The sequence below is a fragment of the Homo sapiens genome, chromosome 10, assembly GCF_000001405.40.
Source record: "Homo sapiens chromosome 10, GRCh38.p14 Primary Assembly".
Taxonomy (NCBI): domain Eukaryota; kingdom Metazoa; phylum Chordata; class Mammalia; order Primates; family Hominidae; genus Homo; species Homo sapiens.
In genome coordinates this window covers 87,713,494-87,731,998 of record NC_000010.11, presented here as the reverse complement: position 1 = coordinate 87,731,998, position 18,505 = coordinate 87,713,494, and the positions used below count along the sequence as shown (strand labels likewise).

At 39.7% G+C, this 18,505-nt stretch overlaps 1 protein-coding gene across 2 annotated transcripts in view; it reads right to left on the bottom strand.

Moving 5' to 3' along the window:
• Nucleotides 1-18,505, bottom strand: part of PAPSS2 (3'-phosphoadenosine 5'-phosphosulfate synthase 2) — an 87,828-nt gene that overhangs the window by 15,707 nt on the left and 53,616 nt on the right. Inside the window, exons 4-9 of one of the 2 annotated variants that reach the window (NM_001015880.2) lie at nucleotides 17,817-17,955; nucleotides 17,136-17,254; nucleotides 16,901-17,014; nucleotides 16,156-16,267; nucleotides 10,229-10,243; nucleotides 4,510-4,715 (exon numbers count right to left, since the gene is read on the bottom strand). In NM_001015880.2, coding sequence (NP_001015880.1) covers nucleotides 4,510-4,715; nucleotides 10,229-10,243; nucleotides 16,156-16,267; nucleotides 16,901-17,014; nucleotides 17,136-17,254; nucleotides 17,817-17,955 — 705 coding nt within the window. The remainder of the gene's footprint in view (nucleotides 1-4,509; nucleotides 4,716-10,228; nucleotides 10,244-16,155; nucleotides 16,268-16,900; nucleotides 17,015-17,135; nucleotides 17,255-17,816; nucleotides 17,956-18,505) is intronic. The other variant, NM_004670.4, reaches the window with a different exon arrangement.

Below are 18,505 nucleotides of genomic sequence, written 5' to 3'. Positions count from 1 at the left end.
CGCATGGTAGAACTTCCTTCAAAATTGGAGTCAATCCTCTCACAGGCTGCCACTGCTTTATCAACTAAGCTTACATAATATTCTGAATACTTTGTTGCCATTTCAAGAGAATCTTCACCAGGAGTAGATTCTATCTCAAAAAAACGATTTATTTGCTCATTCATAGGAAGCAACTCCTCATCCTTTCAAATTCTATCATGAGATTGCAACAATTCAGTTACTTCTTCAGGCTCCACTTCTAATTCTAGTTCTCTTGCTATTTCCACCACGTCTGCAGTTACTTCCTCTACTGAAGTCTTGAACCCCTCAAAGTCATCCATGAAGGATGAAATCAACTTCTTCCAAACTCCCATTAGTGTTGATATTTAACCTCTTCCCACGAATTGCAAATGTTCTTGATGGCATCCAGAATGGTGAATCCCTTCCAGAAGGTTTTCAGTTTACTTTGCCCACATTCATCTGAGGAATCACCATCTAGAGCAGCTATACCCTTACAAAATGTATTTCTTAAACAATAAGACCTGAAAGTTGAAATTACTCTTTGATCCGTGGGCTGCAGAATGGATGGTGTTATGCATGAAAACAAATTAATCTCCTTATACATCTTCCTCAGAGTTCTTGGGTAACTAGGTGCACTGTCAATTAGCAGTGATATTTTGAAATGAATCTTTTTTTGAGCAGTCGGTCTCAATAGTGGGCTTAAAATATTCAGTAAACCACGCTGTAAACAGATGTGCTATCATCCAGGCTTTGTTTTTCCATTTATAGAGCACAGGAAGAATAAATTCAGCATAATCCTTAAGGACCCTAGGATTTTCAGAATGGCCAATGAGCACTGGCTTCAACTTAAAGTCACCAGCTATACTAGCTCCTAACAGGAGAGTTAGCCTGTCCTTTGAAGCTTTGAAGCCAGGCATTGACTTCTCTTCTTTAGCTCTGAAAATCCTAGGTGGCATCTTCTTCCAATAGAAGGCTGTTTCTTCTACACTGAAAATCTGTTGTTAGTGTAGCCACCTACATCAATGATCTTAGCTAGATCTTCTGGGTAACTTGCTGCAGCTCCTACATCAGCACTTGCTGCATCACCTTGTACTTTTATGTTATGGAGATGGCTTTTTTCCTTAAACCCCTTGAACCAACCTCTGCTAGCTTCCAACTTTTCTTCTGCAGCTTTCTCACCTCTCTCAACCTTCATAGAATTGAAGGGAGTTAGGGCTTTGCTCTGAATTAGGTGTTTTGGCTTAAGGCAATGTTGTAGCTGGTTGGACAAGACCACTCAAACCTTCTCCATATCTGTTAAGGAAACCAAAATATTTTACCCCAAAATATATTTCTTTGACATAGTTCAAGATGGCTATTCAAAAGGGCTGGAAAATACAAAAATAGCTAAAAATCTGCCTTTTGTGGGGTACATTTGCATTTGAAGAGAAAATCTACATTGATACAGCCAGGCTTTCTCTAAGGGCCTTCTCTTGCTGGATCTAGGAAACATTAACTGAGACTTTGACACATTTAAAGGTCTGAAAGAAACATTTACCTCTAAAATTTCATTTCATCTATATAACAAGACCATCTTTGCTACACAGGCCTTCTCTTCCCTCCCTCCCATAACCTGTCTTACCAGCGTAACCTGATTTCCTGCCATAACCTGGTTTTGGCCATCCTCTGAGCCTTCATTTTTTCTATAATCTCAGGATGGTATATAAGCTTCTCTACCCCATCGGGGTAAGGAGTAATCACTCTGTGATTTTCCCCGTGTGCAGTAATAAATCTGGATGCCTTTTCTCATTAATCTGCCTTTTGTCAGTTGCCTTTTCAGCAAAACTTCAGGGGGCAAAGGGGAAGTTTTCCCTTGACCCCTACATTGGCAATAAGGCTGCTTTGTTTTCTTATCATTTGTTAGCTCACTGTGTGTAATTTCCTTCAAGAACTTTTCCTTTGCATTTACAACTTGGCTAACTGGCCCAGGAGGCCTAATTCAAATTTCTTTTTCTTATTTTTTTTGAGACGGAGTATCGCTCTTGTTGCAGGCTGGAGTGCAATGGCGCTACCTCGGCTCAGTGCAACCTCCACTTCCTGGGTTCAAGCGATTCTCCTGCCTCAAGCTCCCAAGTAGCTGGGATTACAGGCATGCACCACCATGCCCGGCTAATTTTGTATTTTTAGTAGAGATGGGGTTCCTCCATGTTGGTCAGGCTGGTCTCGGACTCCTGACTTCAAGTGATCCGCCCACCCTGGCCTCCCAAAGTGCTGGGATTACAAGTGTGAGCCACTGCACCTGGGTCCAATTTCAGCTTTCTACATGCCTTCCTCACTAAGCTCAATCATTTTGATTTAAAGTGAGAGATGTGTGAGTCTTCCTTTCACCTGAACACTTAGAGGCCATTGCAGGGTTATTAATTGGCCTAATTCAAATATTGTTGGATCTCAGGAAATAGGGAGGCCCAAGGAGAGGGAGAGAGATGCGGGAATGGCCAGTGAGTGGAGAAGGCAGAACACACACAACATTTATCAATTAAGTCTGCCATCATATGGGTGCAATTCGTGGTGTCCCAAAACAATTACAATAGTAACATCAAAGATCACTAACCGTAGATCACCATAACAGGTCATAATAATAATGAAGAAATCTAAAATATCATAAGAATCACCAAAATGTGACACAGAGACACAAAATGAGCACACGCTGCTGGGAAAATGGCACTCACAGACTTTCTCAGTGCAGGGTTGACACAAACCTTCAATTTGTTAAAAAAAAAAAAGAAAAGAAAAGCAAAATCTGTGAAGCACGATAAAGTGAAGCATAGTAAAATGAGGTATGCCTGTAATCACTTAAGAAACTCTTCAGGTTTTTTTAGTGCTAGTCATGTGTATGCGAATATCATTCCCAAAGGGTAGAAATATCTGAGCTGACATAACCATAACCAAAGGTTGCTATTCTTTCAGTCACTGAGTAAAGATAAAATCCCAAACCTATATGATTATGACAGAGCAAGACTCCATCTCAAAAAATCATAAATAAAAATTTTTAAAAAATAAAAATAAATAAATGAAAAAGCTGCTTTGCTTGCCATTGACCTTTTGTGTTCAGATAGAGAAGGTCTTCAGAGGCCACAAACAGGGGACTTAAAAGGTCTTTCCTATCTTGGAACATTTTGTAACAAAAATGAAGACCAAAAGAAGCCATATCTTTTGACAGGGTCATGAGGCTGGATGAGATCTTACAGTTATTTTGAGTCTGGCCTCTCTTTTTTTTTTCTTTCAGACAGAGTCTCGCTCTGTCACCCAGTCTAGAGTACACTGGCAGCTTGGCTCACTGCAACCGCTGCCTCCTGGGTTCAAGCAACTCTCGTGCTTTAGCCTCCTGAGTAGCTGGGATTACAGGTGCCCGCCACCATGTCCAGCTAATATCTGTATTTTTAGTAGAGACGGGGTTTCACCATGTTGGCCAGGCTGTTCTCGAACTCCCGACCTCAGGTGATCTGCTGGCCTCGGCCTCCCAAAGTACTGGGATTACAGGCGTGAGCCACCGCGCCCAGCCTGGCCTCTCCTTTTATAATAAAGAAACTGAGGCCCAGAGGGAGGGCATGCCTTGTCTAATCCCAGGCTTTTTAGAGTCTCCTGGGTCTGACAGTGCTCTCTCTTCCTGTGAACATGCTGAAAGGGACATGCTGGGAGATTTGAGAAGTCAAATTAGTAGTATATGACTTTTTTCATTTCCACCCTACTGCTCTTATCTTGGATGAGGGATGGTTTTACCATTCAATTTCATGTATTTTTCTTTGTGGGAAATGAACCACAGCCAGCAACTTAATAAAATCCCACCCCACCCCATCACCGACAGTAATTAGAAGCTGTGAAGGAATCTGAGGAGTTAGTCTATTTTCCCTTTAGGCATGATAGACCCTACCTGATCCTATCAGATGAACACATTTTTTTCAATCTTAAAAATATCCACTGAAAAAATATCTTTCCTCTGGAAACTCTGCCACTATCTGTGCTGATTTTTGTTTACTAAGAGAGTATCATTTACTAAGAGAGTATCATTGACCCCCTCACTAGCCACAGAGCATGAACTCTGAGTTCTTGTTCCAGCATTTGGTTGGGTCCATTCTTTATGAAGATACTTATGTTCCTTGCGCATTTTCAAGATGGGCAGGGCTGCAAGCTCTGATTATGGTTTTGTGCATAGCTACAGCTATGATTTTGTTTCTCTACTCATGTTGTCAGACTAAATTTCTTATCTGGTCCCATTTAGCTGAGGATGCCAGCCACTGCAGAATCTGAGGACTCAAGAGATCATTGAGACCAGACCTCAAACAGAAAGACATTTCTTTGCACCTTTCTAAAAACATCTCCTGAGGCAAAGCCTGCAAACACTACCTTAGAAATACATTCTTCCACCTAATCCCAGTTTTTCTAAGTCCTTTGCAAAGGAATTAAAAAGAGTTATTTTTCTTCTCAGTTTAAATAGCTCAAGAAAGTCCTTCCAAAGGTTTTGTGACTTACTTTGATATGGGGGTGTTTTGTACATGTTGTCCCCCAAACACGGGAACAGCGTTCCTCTTTTCTGTGTTCATAGAATTCAGCGTCTCGTAAGATAGCTACCCTCCGTCCACCATGTGCCAGGACAAACTTGCTGCACCCTTCCAGCCGTGTCTTATCCTCTGCAGAGACGGGCAGTACAATGGGGATGCTCATGTTGATCACGCCATCTGTGGAAAGAGCCATGTGATGCACGAAAACTAGATATAAGGTGTGCCATCCTTGAAGCATGAATCAAATGTGCACAATGCCCCTTCCAAACATTTCCTTCAAGAAGCATTAAGACCCAAATCCAAGTAGTTGTGTTAGCTGCACCAGTTTCTCTAGATTCTATAATGACAAGTCCTTGAAGGGCTTCCCAAAGCAAGTGGAGCATATGTGAAAAGTGGGTTGAGTTTTAAATCATGGAGGTGGCCTCCATAAGTGATCTAACTTTGGAAACGCCTCTTTGTGGGTTCCCTTTTCATATCTAAGTCCTGACCTCAATGCAGTAGGGAGTTTAAAATTTTCCAAAACCCAATTAAATAAAATTAAGCTAGCAAAACAAACCAAAACAAAACTCTCTAGTCTTTCTTGGAAATGAAACTTGTAAGAACGTTAAGCAAGTCTCTTATTTCATTACCTGTTTAGGCTCTATCTGCATACCAATACACTGAATTGAAAACAAAGAAAAAAATCAGATAATTGATATGAATCTATGGGAATGAGAATATGCATTTTTTGTATAATAAGTTACTTATGACAGCTGTGTGTTTGTCTTTTTTAATACTAATCAGCCACAATCTGGGTAATACCTCATTCACCTTTTTCTTTAATTTTAAATTTTTAACTTTCTTGGGTACATAGTGTATATGCTTATGGGGTGCATAAGATATTTTGATACAGGAATACAATGCATAATAATCACATCAGGGTAAATGAGGTACCCATCACCTCAAGCATTTATCCTTTGTGTTACAAAAATCCAATTATCCTCTTAGTTATTTTTAAATGCACTGTTAATTTATTTTATTTTACTTTATTTTTAGACAGAGTCTTGCTCTGCCGCCAGGCTGGAGTTCACTGGCACGATCTTGGCTCACTGCAACCTCTGCCTCCCAGGTTCAAGCTATTGTCCTGCCTCAGCCTCCGGAGTAGCTGGGATTACAGGCATGTGCCACCACTCCCAGCTAATTTTTGTATTTTTAGTAGAGACGGGGTTTCACCATGTTGGCCAGGATGGTCTCGATCTCTTGACCTCATGATCTGCCAACCTCAGCCTCCCAAAATGCTGGGATAAGAGGCGTAAGCCACCGTGCCCAGCCGTTAAATTATTATTGACTATAGTCATCCTGTTGTGCTATCAAATACTAGATCTTATTCATTCTATTTTCTGTACCCATCTCATGCACTTGTAAAAAATGTATTTTCAGCCAGGTGCAGTGGCTTACACCTATAATCCCAGCATTTTGGGAGGCCAAGATGGGAGGATTGCTTCAGGCCAAGAGTTTGTGACCAGCCTGGGTAACACAGCAAGACCTCATCTCTACCAAAAAATATGTGTGTGTGTGTGTGTGTGTGTGTGTGTGTATACACACATATTTTTTTTAAATTAGCTGGACATGTTGGCATGCACTTGTAGTCCCAGCGACTCAGGAGGCTGAGGCAAGAGGGTCACCTGAGCCCAGGAGTTTGAGGCTGCAATGAGCCCTGATCACTCCACTGTACTCCAGCCTGGGTGATAGAGCAAGATCCTGTCTCAAAAAACAAAACAAAACCCACTAATCTATGGGATCCCAAACGAGCAGTCCTCTTGATGTTATTCATGGTGGTTTCAGCATAAAATCACCTTTTCTTCCCCCTCCTGCTCCCTCTTTCCTAAATATTTTTTAGGATACTGGTAATCTCACTTATCTGGGAATCACAGGTCTTGCTAACGCAACCACAGTTGAGAATCATCTGTCCAAAACCACAGAGGAGTGAAAAATGACATCAAGTCATTAACGCACATGTACTTTCTCTGGAGTGTGAGCTCCTCTCACCATTATGCTGAGTCTCTTGCTTTAAGAGGAATTTAAATAAACAGGGTGTTCTGATTTCTCAGTATACAGCACAGCAAATTAGAAGGCATCGAATGTGGTATTCAGAGAAGCTACATCTTCAGCAGCAAGAAATGTCCAATGACAGCTGGACCACAAAGGAAGAGACAGGAAAACTACTGAAAAAATACACATAGAAACTGTGATGGTTGATGTTATATGTCAACTTAGCTAGGCCACAGTACTCAGATATTTAGTCAAACATTATTCTAGATGTTTCTGTAGAGGTACTTTTTAGATGGGATTAACATTTAAATCAGTAGACTTTGAGTAAAGTAGAGTACCCTCCAGAATGTGAGTGGGCCTCATCCAATCAGTCAAAGGCCTAATTAGACAAAAGACTCTTCTCCCCAGAAAAGGAGAGAATTATGCCAGCAGACCGCCTGTGGACTTGAACCGCAGGTCTTCTCGGGGTCCCCAGCCTCCCAGTTTTCGGACTTGCCAGATTCCACAATCACACGAACCAATTCCTTAAAATAAATCTCTCTCTTTCTATGTGTGTATGTGTGTGTGTGTGTGTGTGTATAGACAGAGATTTATTGTATACCTATATATAATACATAGATATCCATATGTAACATACAGATATATTGTTATCTATTCAGATATATATCAGAAATATTATATAATTCAGATATAATATCTATATGTTATATATAGATATCAATGTATAATACATAGAGAGATAAGGCTCCATAATAATAAATAATTTATTAAAATAATGTATATATATAATTAATATATGTATAAATTAATATATGTACATGCATATATATAAATTTATTTAAATATGTTACATATATTTTATATCTATGTCTATATAGAGAGATGCATATCTGTATATAGATAGACACACAGATATGCATCCTGTTTGTTCTGTTTCTCTGGAGAACCCTGACTATACAAGGTTCTAACACTGAAACTGAAATACAGAGTTATGGGGGTTCTTTAGTGTGGGAGCCAACAATCCCACAGGTCTCCCCATCTTCAGGGCACCATTACATTAGTGCCCAGTTTAATAACTGGTAAAACTAATAATGACAGAGTCATTTTTAAAAGTTCCTTTATATTGAACATATTCTCTTTTTTTTTGAGTGAATACTTTTTTTTTTTTAGTAAGACTATTTTGAAATGTTTCTAAATAAGATAGTTAATGTGTAGTTGGTTTTCAGTCTGGGGCTTAAAGGGATAAAATTTGGCTTTCTAAAAACATCTCATTTCTCTATGATTCTAGATAATGTAAAAAAATGTACAAAACGGTGTTCCTCCTACAATGATGCCCTCACAAATAGGCTATTCTCTCAATTATACTCACAGATGAGAAAATGAGGGCTCATGGTTAAGCGTATAACACAAAATAATATTAGGGACAATTTTGTGAGAGTTCTCAAGTTCAAGATTCAGAAGAGAATGAAAGGAAGGTGAATAAAGAAAACATTTAACTCCAGAGGAAGCAAATGCAGTTATTTATGGACCTGAGGGAATGTGCCATGATTAATGAAGCCATTTAAACCTAACTTTTCAATGCAACATTTAGAAGGCCTCTGACAGAGTTAAAGATTAGAGTTCTATTCCTTCGGGGCATAAGACTCCCCCTAGTAGTTATGAAACTAAACTTTCCAGGCATATCACTTTGCACCTTTTAAACACTCTCCAAAGGTTACTAGAACCTAAAGAATGTCACCGGAAATAGACAGCAACTGCCGGCAATAAACAAATCCGGTCTATCATAAAATCCTGCAATATACTTTGAGACCCTTTATAAACCACAAACTAGATACTGTGTACATACAGAAAGTAATGGTGTGTCATTCAAATAACTCTTTGTTTCAACGTTCTCGGGCAATTAGAGCAGCTAAGTCCTTTGCAGAGAACACTAAATTCAAAGGCAGCAGTTCTCCCTTTTACTATGTGTGTCATTCAACTTTTCTAAACTCAGTTTCCTCACTGGAAAAATGGGCTAATAAATGACATGTATCTCCATGGGTTGCTGCAGGGGGCAAACTGTAAAGCACTATGTTAATGGAGGTTGCTGATGGAAGATGATTAAATCCACTGCATAGTCTAGTTGAGGAAAAGGGAGAGAGGCTAACAAAGAATAACCCCTTCAGAAATGCTGTCGTTGTCACTAGAAATCATGCTTTCTGTGGATTGCTTACTGACCACATTGCTGAAAGGAAGACCATGATATTTGCCTCTGCTTATAAAGAATGACTTGGCCGAAATAAAGCAAAATGCAAAGCAAAATGTGGAGCAGGGTGCTGAAAGAACCTAGCGCTGCCTGCAACACGTCTGTAACGTTGCCTTCCATCAAGTATTCTGACTTGAAATCCAAGGGATGTTTCACTGTTGCAGCCACCTCCTCTTGTCCACTAGATTCCTGACCAATTTAGCCTCTAATCTACCTTCATCTTGGCCTTGAGTGAAAATCTGAAATGACTAAATAACACTCTGGCAGGTTGTCTCAATAAGGAAGTGAATCTGTGGGATGTTATAGAAAGGAGTTCTGCCAAGTAATAATGCCAACTGATCTTATAAGCCTGTAGCTACAACACTACATGTGTATACACAGATTTACTGTAGTTTCCCTATCATCTTTATCAACCTTTCTAATATATAAACGTATCCAACTATTACTAAGATGTAATACTTGAACTGTGCTGAAACATCACCCATGACTTTCAACCCTGACTTGAGTTTTCAGCCTTTTCCTTCATGTGCTTCATTTGGCTCTGGTGGGCACTGCCTTGATTATTTTATTGTGGTATATCTTATTTTGAAAAAGAATATTGTGGTTCTTTAACCACAGTAAGTCCAAGAGATAGCTTATTGTTCAATGGAATGATTTTTCTTTTGCTTTCAATAATTTTCAAGCCTTCTGTGTTAGCCTTATAGATCTGCTTCATGGTTGTTTGGGACTGTTTCTGTGCAAAACCTAAATTACTTTTTATTGCTTAACTGGGCTTTTTAAAGGAAAAACAACAATGATGAAAGCAACACCAAAGATAGATGACATATTCAGAATTCTACCTTTTCATTCTTGTACAATGCAGAAGTTTACAGTCACAGCAAATGTATATTTACTCCCAGTTCCATAACAAGCAACCATAATGGCTTGAAATTAAGTTCATGCATAATCATACATTGCAAACAAATGAAGTACAATCATACACAATCCAACCAGGTACATTCAGTTTAAATCGATTTATTCTTCATCAACTTAAAATCTTTTATAAACACTGTAGGAAAAAAAATTTCCAGCTTTGTGAAACTAAATGAGGACCAACAGTCATTGGAAGAGGATCATAAATGTAAAAGACTCAGGAACAAAATGTACAATGATAATTTAGAAACAAGTTTACTTTTGTCAGCCAAATGCTACATCATACACAATAGCTACATCTGGTTGGGAAATTTCCTGTTGTTTGGACTCCAGTCTAAAGAAAAATACAGTGTTATTCTACTATAGCTGGTTGGATCATGAACTAATAGCGATTCCAACTGGTTAATGTAGATTTTCTTTTAGTTATGTTCTTAACCATTTCCAGTTAATTTAACATATATAATTATAATAATTTAGCTACTTGGAAAGTTAAAGTACATACCAGGAAGGGCCATGCCTAGGGAAATATAAACACAATTAAGAAACATTTTCAGCTCTCCACCAAACGAATCTTACAGCAACAATGTCAAAGAACAAATTCCTATTATGACACTTCACATATACAACATACAAATATACTAGCTTTGTCATGCTATTTTTAAAAATAGAGAGTATATAATAGCAAAAAGCTGGTGAAATCAGAACTTGTATGGAATGTTGTTCAATACAATCCAAAAGCATTGTTCAGATGTTTATCTGGTTTTCTAATTTTTTATTTATTTATTTTTCCATCCACTGGGAAGAGATATCTGTTTTAAAATAATTATAACATATGTTAATGTCCCCTCCAGCTTCACCAAGAAGTTTTCTCTTGCAAACATGTGATCTCACAACCACTGTAGAATAGTTTCCAAACTAGGCTTTGGGAGCAAGTATAGAAGCAAACTGCCCTAGAACATCCTAGAATCTCACATGGTTAGAGGACATGAAAATATGCTCAGCAGAACAAGCACCAACATTAGATCCAGGACAACCTGGATTTAAGTCTAGGCTTCAAATAAGTTATTTAACCTTTCTAATACATATTTTCTCAAGTGGACAAAATATCTTCACAGTGGTATTATCCTGATTAAATGTAATAATCTATGTCAAACTCCAGTGTCAGAACACAATTGGTGCTCAATAAGTGCTGGTGATATATGCAGAGTACTCTCACACCCTCCCTTGGAAAGTCAGAGCTGCGGAAGAATAGCCATTAAATGATGGAGTCTCACAAGGCTCCCCTGTCTTGATCCTACTTGGATGCCATCAGTCAACACAAGCTTGAGGTTGCATTTTTAAATTTAAATGTGACATTTATGATCAAAGGGTCTGTGACAACCCTGGAACTATACTTCTAGTGAGAAATAAAGTGATATGATACACTGATATAAAAGTAGATTCTTGAGTAATAATATGGAGTGACTCATACTACACAATTATCATATACTCTAACAAGTGATTTGGTTTTTGTTTTGGGGTTTTTTTTTGGCTTTTGGACTGAGTAGACAGAACTATTTTATTTTTAAATTTAGGGGAAAATATAAACCTTTGAGAAAATTAAAACCAACAAAATATTTTTAGGAGACATGGTCAGAATAAAAACAATGTTGCTTTCAGATTGTAGGTAATCAAGAAATTTGCAATGGTTTGAAGGAAGACAAAAGTGGGCACATGTCTGTGGCTGTGGAGATCATTTCAAATTTTCAATGGCAGTGACTCAAACCTTCATGAATTGGTTACAATTAAATGATATCTATATAAATGATATCTTGCCCAACATTCTGACATAGAAATAAATCACTTTTTACAATTTAACTCTGTCTCCTCAGTCCAAACGCCATCAGGTGAGGCACTGTCAGGAGCCTCTGTTGCTGCGTTTCAAATGGCTTCCTCCTGATACCCTCCAGGCTGCTCTCCAGGTGAAAGGGAGCCCAAGCCCCTACTCCCTTCTACTGGGGGAGTGAGGCAGTTCCATTTTGTTGTGTAGATTGCCTCTGATTTTTGAAATGAAATAAAGAATTATCTGGTTTAAAAAAGAAAGTTTCGGCTGCGTGCAGCGGCTCATGGCTCTAATCCTAGCACTTTAGGAGGCTGAGGCAGGTGGATCACTTGAGGTCAGGAGTTCAAGACCAGCCTGGCCAATATGGTGAAACCCCATCTCTACTAAAAATACAAAAATTTCCTGGGCTTCGTGGCAAGCGCCTGTAGTCTCAGCTACTTGGTAGGCTGAGGCAGAAGAATTGCTTGAACCCAGGAGGCAGAGGTTGCAGTGAGCAGAGATCGCGCCACTGCACTCCAGCCTGGGCAACAGAGCGAGACTCTGTCTCAAAAAATAAAATAAAATAAGAAAAAGAAAATAAAAAAGAAAGTTTCACAACCACTGATGGGGGGCGGGAAGGACTTACTGGACTAGGTCTCAGAAAATGACTGTACTGTATTTCTCAGCAAGCTCACCTGCCTTCATTACCATTCTATCTCCAGACGCTAGAAAAACCCTGGCACATGGGGGGCACTCAGTGTATATCTGTTGGCTAGCTGACGAACATCGTATCTGTGCTACTTCCAAATTGATGTGACTAGGGATAAAGTCACTTAGTCTCTTCAAGACTCCAGGTTCTTTTATTTATGTATTTATTTTTAGAGACAAAGTTTCCCTATGTTGCCCAGGTGGGACTCTAGCTCCTGGGCTCAAGTGATCCTCCCGCCTTAGGCTCTGAGTAGCTGGGACTACGGTCATGAGCCACCATGCCTGACAAATTCTTTTAACTGTATGCAGAGTGGTTTGTTCATAATAGCTAATATGTATGAAATACTGACTATTGAATCAGGCATTCTTTTAAACTTTCAACATCCAATGAGGTAGGTAGGTACAGTTATTAACATCCCCATTATACAGATGAAGGAACAAAGCCCAGAGAGTTTAAGTAATTTGGCCCAGGTTCATAGCTAATCACTGACATACAAACCTAGACAGTGTGACTTCGCAGCTCACACTCTCATCCACTGTGATATTCTGCCTCTACTTAGACCCAAAGTAACTTAACATACGGCGAGTGGTAGGGGTGGGCAGCACATCATATCCCTGATTATCTATTTTTATTATCAATTTACACAGGCATTTAGGATGCTTCTGTGGGCTGTGCAGAGCTCAGAATCCTGATCATAACTGGGGTTGTATAAGTATGTCCAGTGGACTCTGTTTGCAGAGGTAGATGGTGGAACCAGCAGATAATTCCCACAGGGAAAAGAAGAATCTTACAGAAAGTTTCAGACACAGGTCCTGCAGCTTGGAAGGGGAAAGGATATGGAAATAGCAAAACATCTGATCTTGAACCCTCCTGACAGAGCCACACTGGAGCCACATGAGGATAAAGGGATCTATACACCTTACAAGAGTTGCCTCACTCAATTCTCTAACACTGTGGAACTAAAGCAACCTCCTAGACAGTCTTCAATTGAGGTTAATACAGAGGAAGGAAACAATTTTTCCCACTTGAAGAAGAGTCCATAAACTGCAAAAGCCCTACTGGCACCAAAACTTTGGTGGCTGGAGTGACCCAGCATGATCTGCACTTCTGAGTACAGACAGACCCACAGAATCACACAGCAAGTGGCACATGGCTGGGGCCCTGACTCAGGAACACAGGAAACGCACCCCTTGGGGACTCCCAAAAACACTTGGGTAGGCTTTTGAAAGAACTGGGCTTTCTGCATGAGCAGGTAGGGGCTTGGAACTAGTAGGCTTCAAGTATTAATGGGAAGGTAACCTCATTCATATCCCCAGGCTGGTGGGTTTGCGGGGACAGACATCTGGATTACATGGAAAGTGGGAGCAATAATAAGTGCTTCATCCACCTCACGGTAGTGAGCATCAAATAAGAAATAGAAAATCAATGGGTTGGCAGGGTACCGTGGCTCACACCTGTAATCTCAGCACTTTGGGAGGCTGAGGCGGGCAGATTATCTGAAGTCAAGGAGCTCAAGACCAGCCTGGCCAACATAGTGAAACCCTGTCTCTACTAAAAATACAAAACTTAGCCATGCATGGTGGCATGCACCTGTAGTCCTAGCTACTCAGGAGAATCGCTTGAACCCGGGAGGCAGAGGTTGCAGTGAGCTGAGATCATGCCACTGCACTCCAGCCTGGGTGACAGAGCAAGACTCTGTCTCAAAAAAAAGAAAAAAGAAAAAAAAGAAAAGAAAAAAGAAAATCAACAGGTTTTGCAAGTTGAAAAACCCCCATAAAATGAAATTGAGACAGTGTAAAAGAAAGGCTAGAGATTTTGCCTAAATCATCCAGATGGATTATCTGCATTAGCTGTTCTTCATCTTTTTGGATCACAGACTCTTTTAAGAATTTGTTGTCTATAATAGCACTTTGCAAGGCCAAGGCAGGAGGATGACTGGAGGAAAGGAATTCAAGATCAGCCTGGGCAACACTGTGAGACCTTATCCCTGGGCAACATAGTGAGACCTTATCTCTACAAAACAAATTTAGAAATCTGCCAGGCATGGTGGTACATGCCTGTAGTCCCAGCTACCCAGGAGGCAGAGGTGGAAGGATTGCTTGAATTCAGGAGTTCAAGGCTTCAGTGAGCTATGATCATGCCACTGCACTCTAGCCTGGGTGATGGAGCAAGACCCTATTTCTAAAAAATAAAAAATAATTAAAGGAAAAAACAGAATCTATCAAAAGCTATAAATTCTCAACCCAGGAAAATGCTCCTTCCTTCCCTTATCAAAACACAAACATTTTTGCCTCTAAGATTTTTTGTTAGCCCACCCTGAAGTCCTAGATCTCAGGCTAAGGACCTCTGATTTCCATTAACACTGACCTCTGCAACCACTTCCACCACCCTAGTATTTTTCTTTATGAGAGGAACACTTGTCCAAGGTCAACAGCACCTTGTTGTCTGTAATGAGGCCCCCTCTTTCAATGTAGTTCACTTGTCTTTTGGCCACAGCTCTGTTCATATGCTCAAAATCAACCTCTTGCTCATGGCTAGCTGCTAAGTCCAATGACCTTTACTTCAGGCAGTCGGTGTTCAGCATGTGTCAAAATCAAGACACCAAGATAAAAGTCAGCCTTCCTTGTAGACCATCAGGCCTTGTAGATTCTATTGGAAAAGACATCAGGAGAGCAGACTGGTATGTAAGGAGCACTGGGCCAGGATTCCTAAGATTCTGGACTCTGGTCTTGGGCTTTCACTTATGAATGTTATGAGCAAATCACTTAATCTGAGGCAGTTTCCTCATCTGTAAAGTGGGATAATAATTGCTGCCTGTTTTCTAGGGCTTTTGTGAGGATCAAATGAAATAATGCCTGAGAAAATGCTTTGAAAACAGAGACGTGGTATAGGGATATGCATTATTATTTTTGTTGTTAAAGCAAGCTAGAAGTAAACTAAGTGTCTTTGGGGAATATTATTTAATCTGAGAAGTGAAGGATTCAGGTTGTGGGGTGTTATCTGTCACAGCAAAAGAATAAGGGAAGAGGGCCCATGCTGATCAGTCTTTGAGTTCTGATTCTGAGTTCATGCCCCATTCCCCAGGCAAAGGCACAAACACAGGACATGAACACCTCTCCCAAAAAAGAGCATCTTATTTGATTTTTCTTCCTAAAAGGCTTGGAGCCCTGCTCAGCATTACAAATTCAGCGTGACTCTACCCCTACTCCTTCCCCACTTAGCAGCCATTCCCCGAAGGTCTTGAAATAGATAAGTTTATTTGATAAGTTCAGGCAGTTCTAGGAAGGAAATGATCACAGAAGGGTCCGGAAGTCTTCACAATAACACATGTTTCTGAGCTTGACCAGATTGGTTTTCCAAAAGCCATTCAGCTCGTGGCCAGAAAGCTGCCTTAATGCTCTTTTGTTAGAGTGTAGTGGATGAAACCATTTTAATATATTTCATGTGTGGGCATGAACATTGACACTTTAGCATGCACCAAAGAAAGCAGTTGTTGCAATAATGCTTGACATGAGCAACCTGGAGGGTGGAGGGTGCCATGGAGGTCAGCAACATGTGCTGACCTCATCTTGGCTGCCCTAGGAATGTCCCTAGCAGGTGGCAATGGTACTTCTGCGTGCTACCTTCTGAATATCAGCACCAGCAAAGAGCAAGTGGAGATGAAACAGACCTGTCTTTCTCTTGGCTTTACACCATTTTTCAGTTCCTTAGTTTTAAAGGAACAACCTTTGAGAACAACCAAAAAATCCTAAAAATGGAAGCTTAAACATAATAGAATGGAGCACACTGTAAATGATCCAAACAGTTTTGCAATAAGATTTGCAAACTAAAGACTAACTTCCTGTTCCTGCAAAACTTCTGGGAAAGATTTTTTTTTTTCCTTAACAACAAAGAGTAAGAAACAACAACAAAAACATACCATCTAGCAGGGTGTCAAAGTGCATAACCTGTAAGTACTCCTTCTCCCGCATGAAACCTTTGAGGGGAGTGGCCCAGCCTTCGCTCAAAACCTGGACCCACTGGAGATCCAGCTGCAAAACACAAAAAGTAGTTGAACATTTTCATAAGTTCTGTTTTCCAGGCATCTGGCCCCAGGGAAGTCCTTTCTTATTCAGTTAACAGGAGGATGAGGGCAGAACCTTCTATGTTTTAAGTGTCCCCACCTGTTATGCTAACCCATGATCTAAGGGCCAGAAATATTTAAGTTTGGAAGTTTCCTATGAAATAGTGGTGAAAAGATTTTGTATTGAGATGACTTATTTGAACATTTTTAGGTTGTATCTATTCCCAAAATGTGCAACTGAGTTGAAAATTCACTGTTTATTCTTTCTTTCTTTTATCCACAAAAATCCTGGTCTGGCTATATTTTTCTACCAGATGTACTTACTGGTACAATGACAGCTATGTAAAATTGTCCAATGCAAATACAGAAGTTATTTTCCCAGTCACCTCCATACATGGCATTGATCAGCTGCCTTGTGGCAATTCTTGGTGAGAGATTTCTTTGGAGAAGAGGTTAAAAATAACTTGGAAAAAAAGGAGTGTTTTATTTATGGACATTATGTGCACCTTATTTATACTTTTCTTATTGTTAAGAGTAATTGTAAATAAATTATAATGACTGATATTAAGCCTAATTATTTGACCAGTCTGCACCCACTTACCTTAGTAATTGATAATGAAGGGAGAGTTTCAGCCTCAGCTCGGACGTGGTCAAGTTTGTTTTCCGGCACAAAGAGTTCGTGGATATCTTTGATTATAGTATAGGGTACAATGTTCTGAAATGAAACAGCATTGGTAAAAACTTGAAAACTGTAAAAAGAATGCTTCAGTAAAGAGGCATAGATTGTCTTTCATGATTTTATTAAACATATAAAAAAAGACAACCGGTTCACCTACCTGCTCTTGCAGAAGTTCCACTACCTGGTGGACACAGTCACTCACTGTGGACAAATTGGTTTTAAGCACACGCTCAGGAGTTTCAGGTTTCTCATAATCAGAATCAATACCTGTAAATCCTGCAAAGCATATGGGTGACAATCATCGCATCTGTATTGACAGAATAATCTTTTTAATCAATAAGGCAAAACACATGTTGGAATAATGTATTAAACTGAAAATTCACACTTTAACAGAAAAGGTCAAACAGCCATCCTTGACTTCTAGCCATAAGTAAGAAAATATATAGCTGTATTTTCAATATGGAAAGCCCCAAATTGTCAACAAAATCCTGCTGGCTAAGTTGAAGCCCTCTATAGATGATTACAATCAAAAAGGAAGACAAGAATAAGGAAGAACTCTGAAACACTCCTCTACACACACACACTCACATATAAATATCCATTCTAGTTCTCTGAACGTTATTGCATATGGCTGAGATGACAATTCTTAAAAATAAAACCCTACCTTTTAATAAGCCTCTGGGCATACTGAATATATCATGATCTGATAAAAAGTTGTGCATGTTATATGCAATTTTGGAAAACAGTTTGAAACTCAAGGAAGATTTCTGAGGACAGAATAAGGACTGAGGACTGACAGCCTATGTAACTGGTAGACGCTACTAGCCAATTCTCTTACCTTTAATCTCCCCAGCTCTGGCCCTTTTATAGAGGCCTTTTACGTCTCTGCTTTCACAAATATTTAGAGGTGCATCTACAAATATTTCAAAGAATGGCAGCCCTGCTGATTCATGTATTTTGCGGGCATTCTCACGATCCTGAAAAGCAATATGATTAAGAATGTAAAAAGAGGTTTCACGGTGAAATTCTAAATCACAAAACACTGTGTACTTTGGTTTTCAATAGCCTTGAGATAACACTGGGGTTTGTGCTTTGCAGAGTGCTTGAGAGAAAGTCCAGAAATTTTACTCTGGTAAACACAGCTCTCTCAAGGACTTTCACAGAAAATCATGGAAAATAGGCCCTCTTAGCAGGAAAGCACTGGCCATATGGGAGCATTTCATTCAAAGGATGTGTTCTAAGCTACATCTGATGTTTGGCTCCCAGAAATTTCCTGATTTAAAAGAAGAGTGACACTCCATCTCAGTGATGTCAGCATTAAACACATAGAACCCGAAGCTTTGGCCATGAACTGCTCTTTTCTTTAACTAGATCCTTTTTCCGACAACTAAAATTACAGAGGTTTAGAGTTTCTCTTGTTTAACTTTCTCTTCCCTTCGACTCTCACCAAATGTTCCTTATAATTGTGAACATGGAAGGGTTTATGTCTACTGGTGCCCTGGCATCTGGAAAGGAAGGAACTCCTTT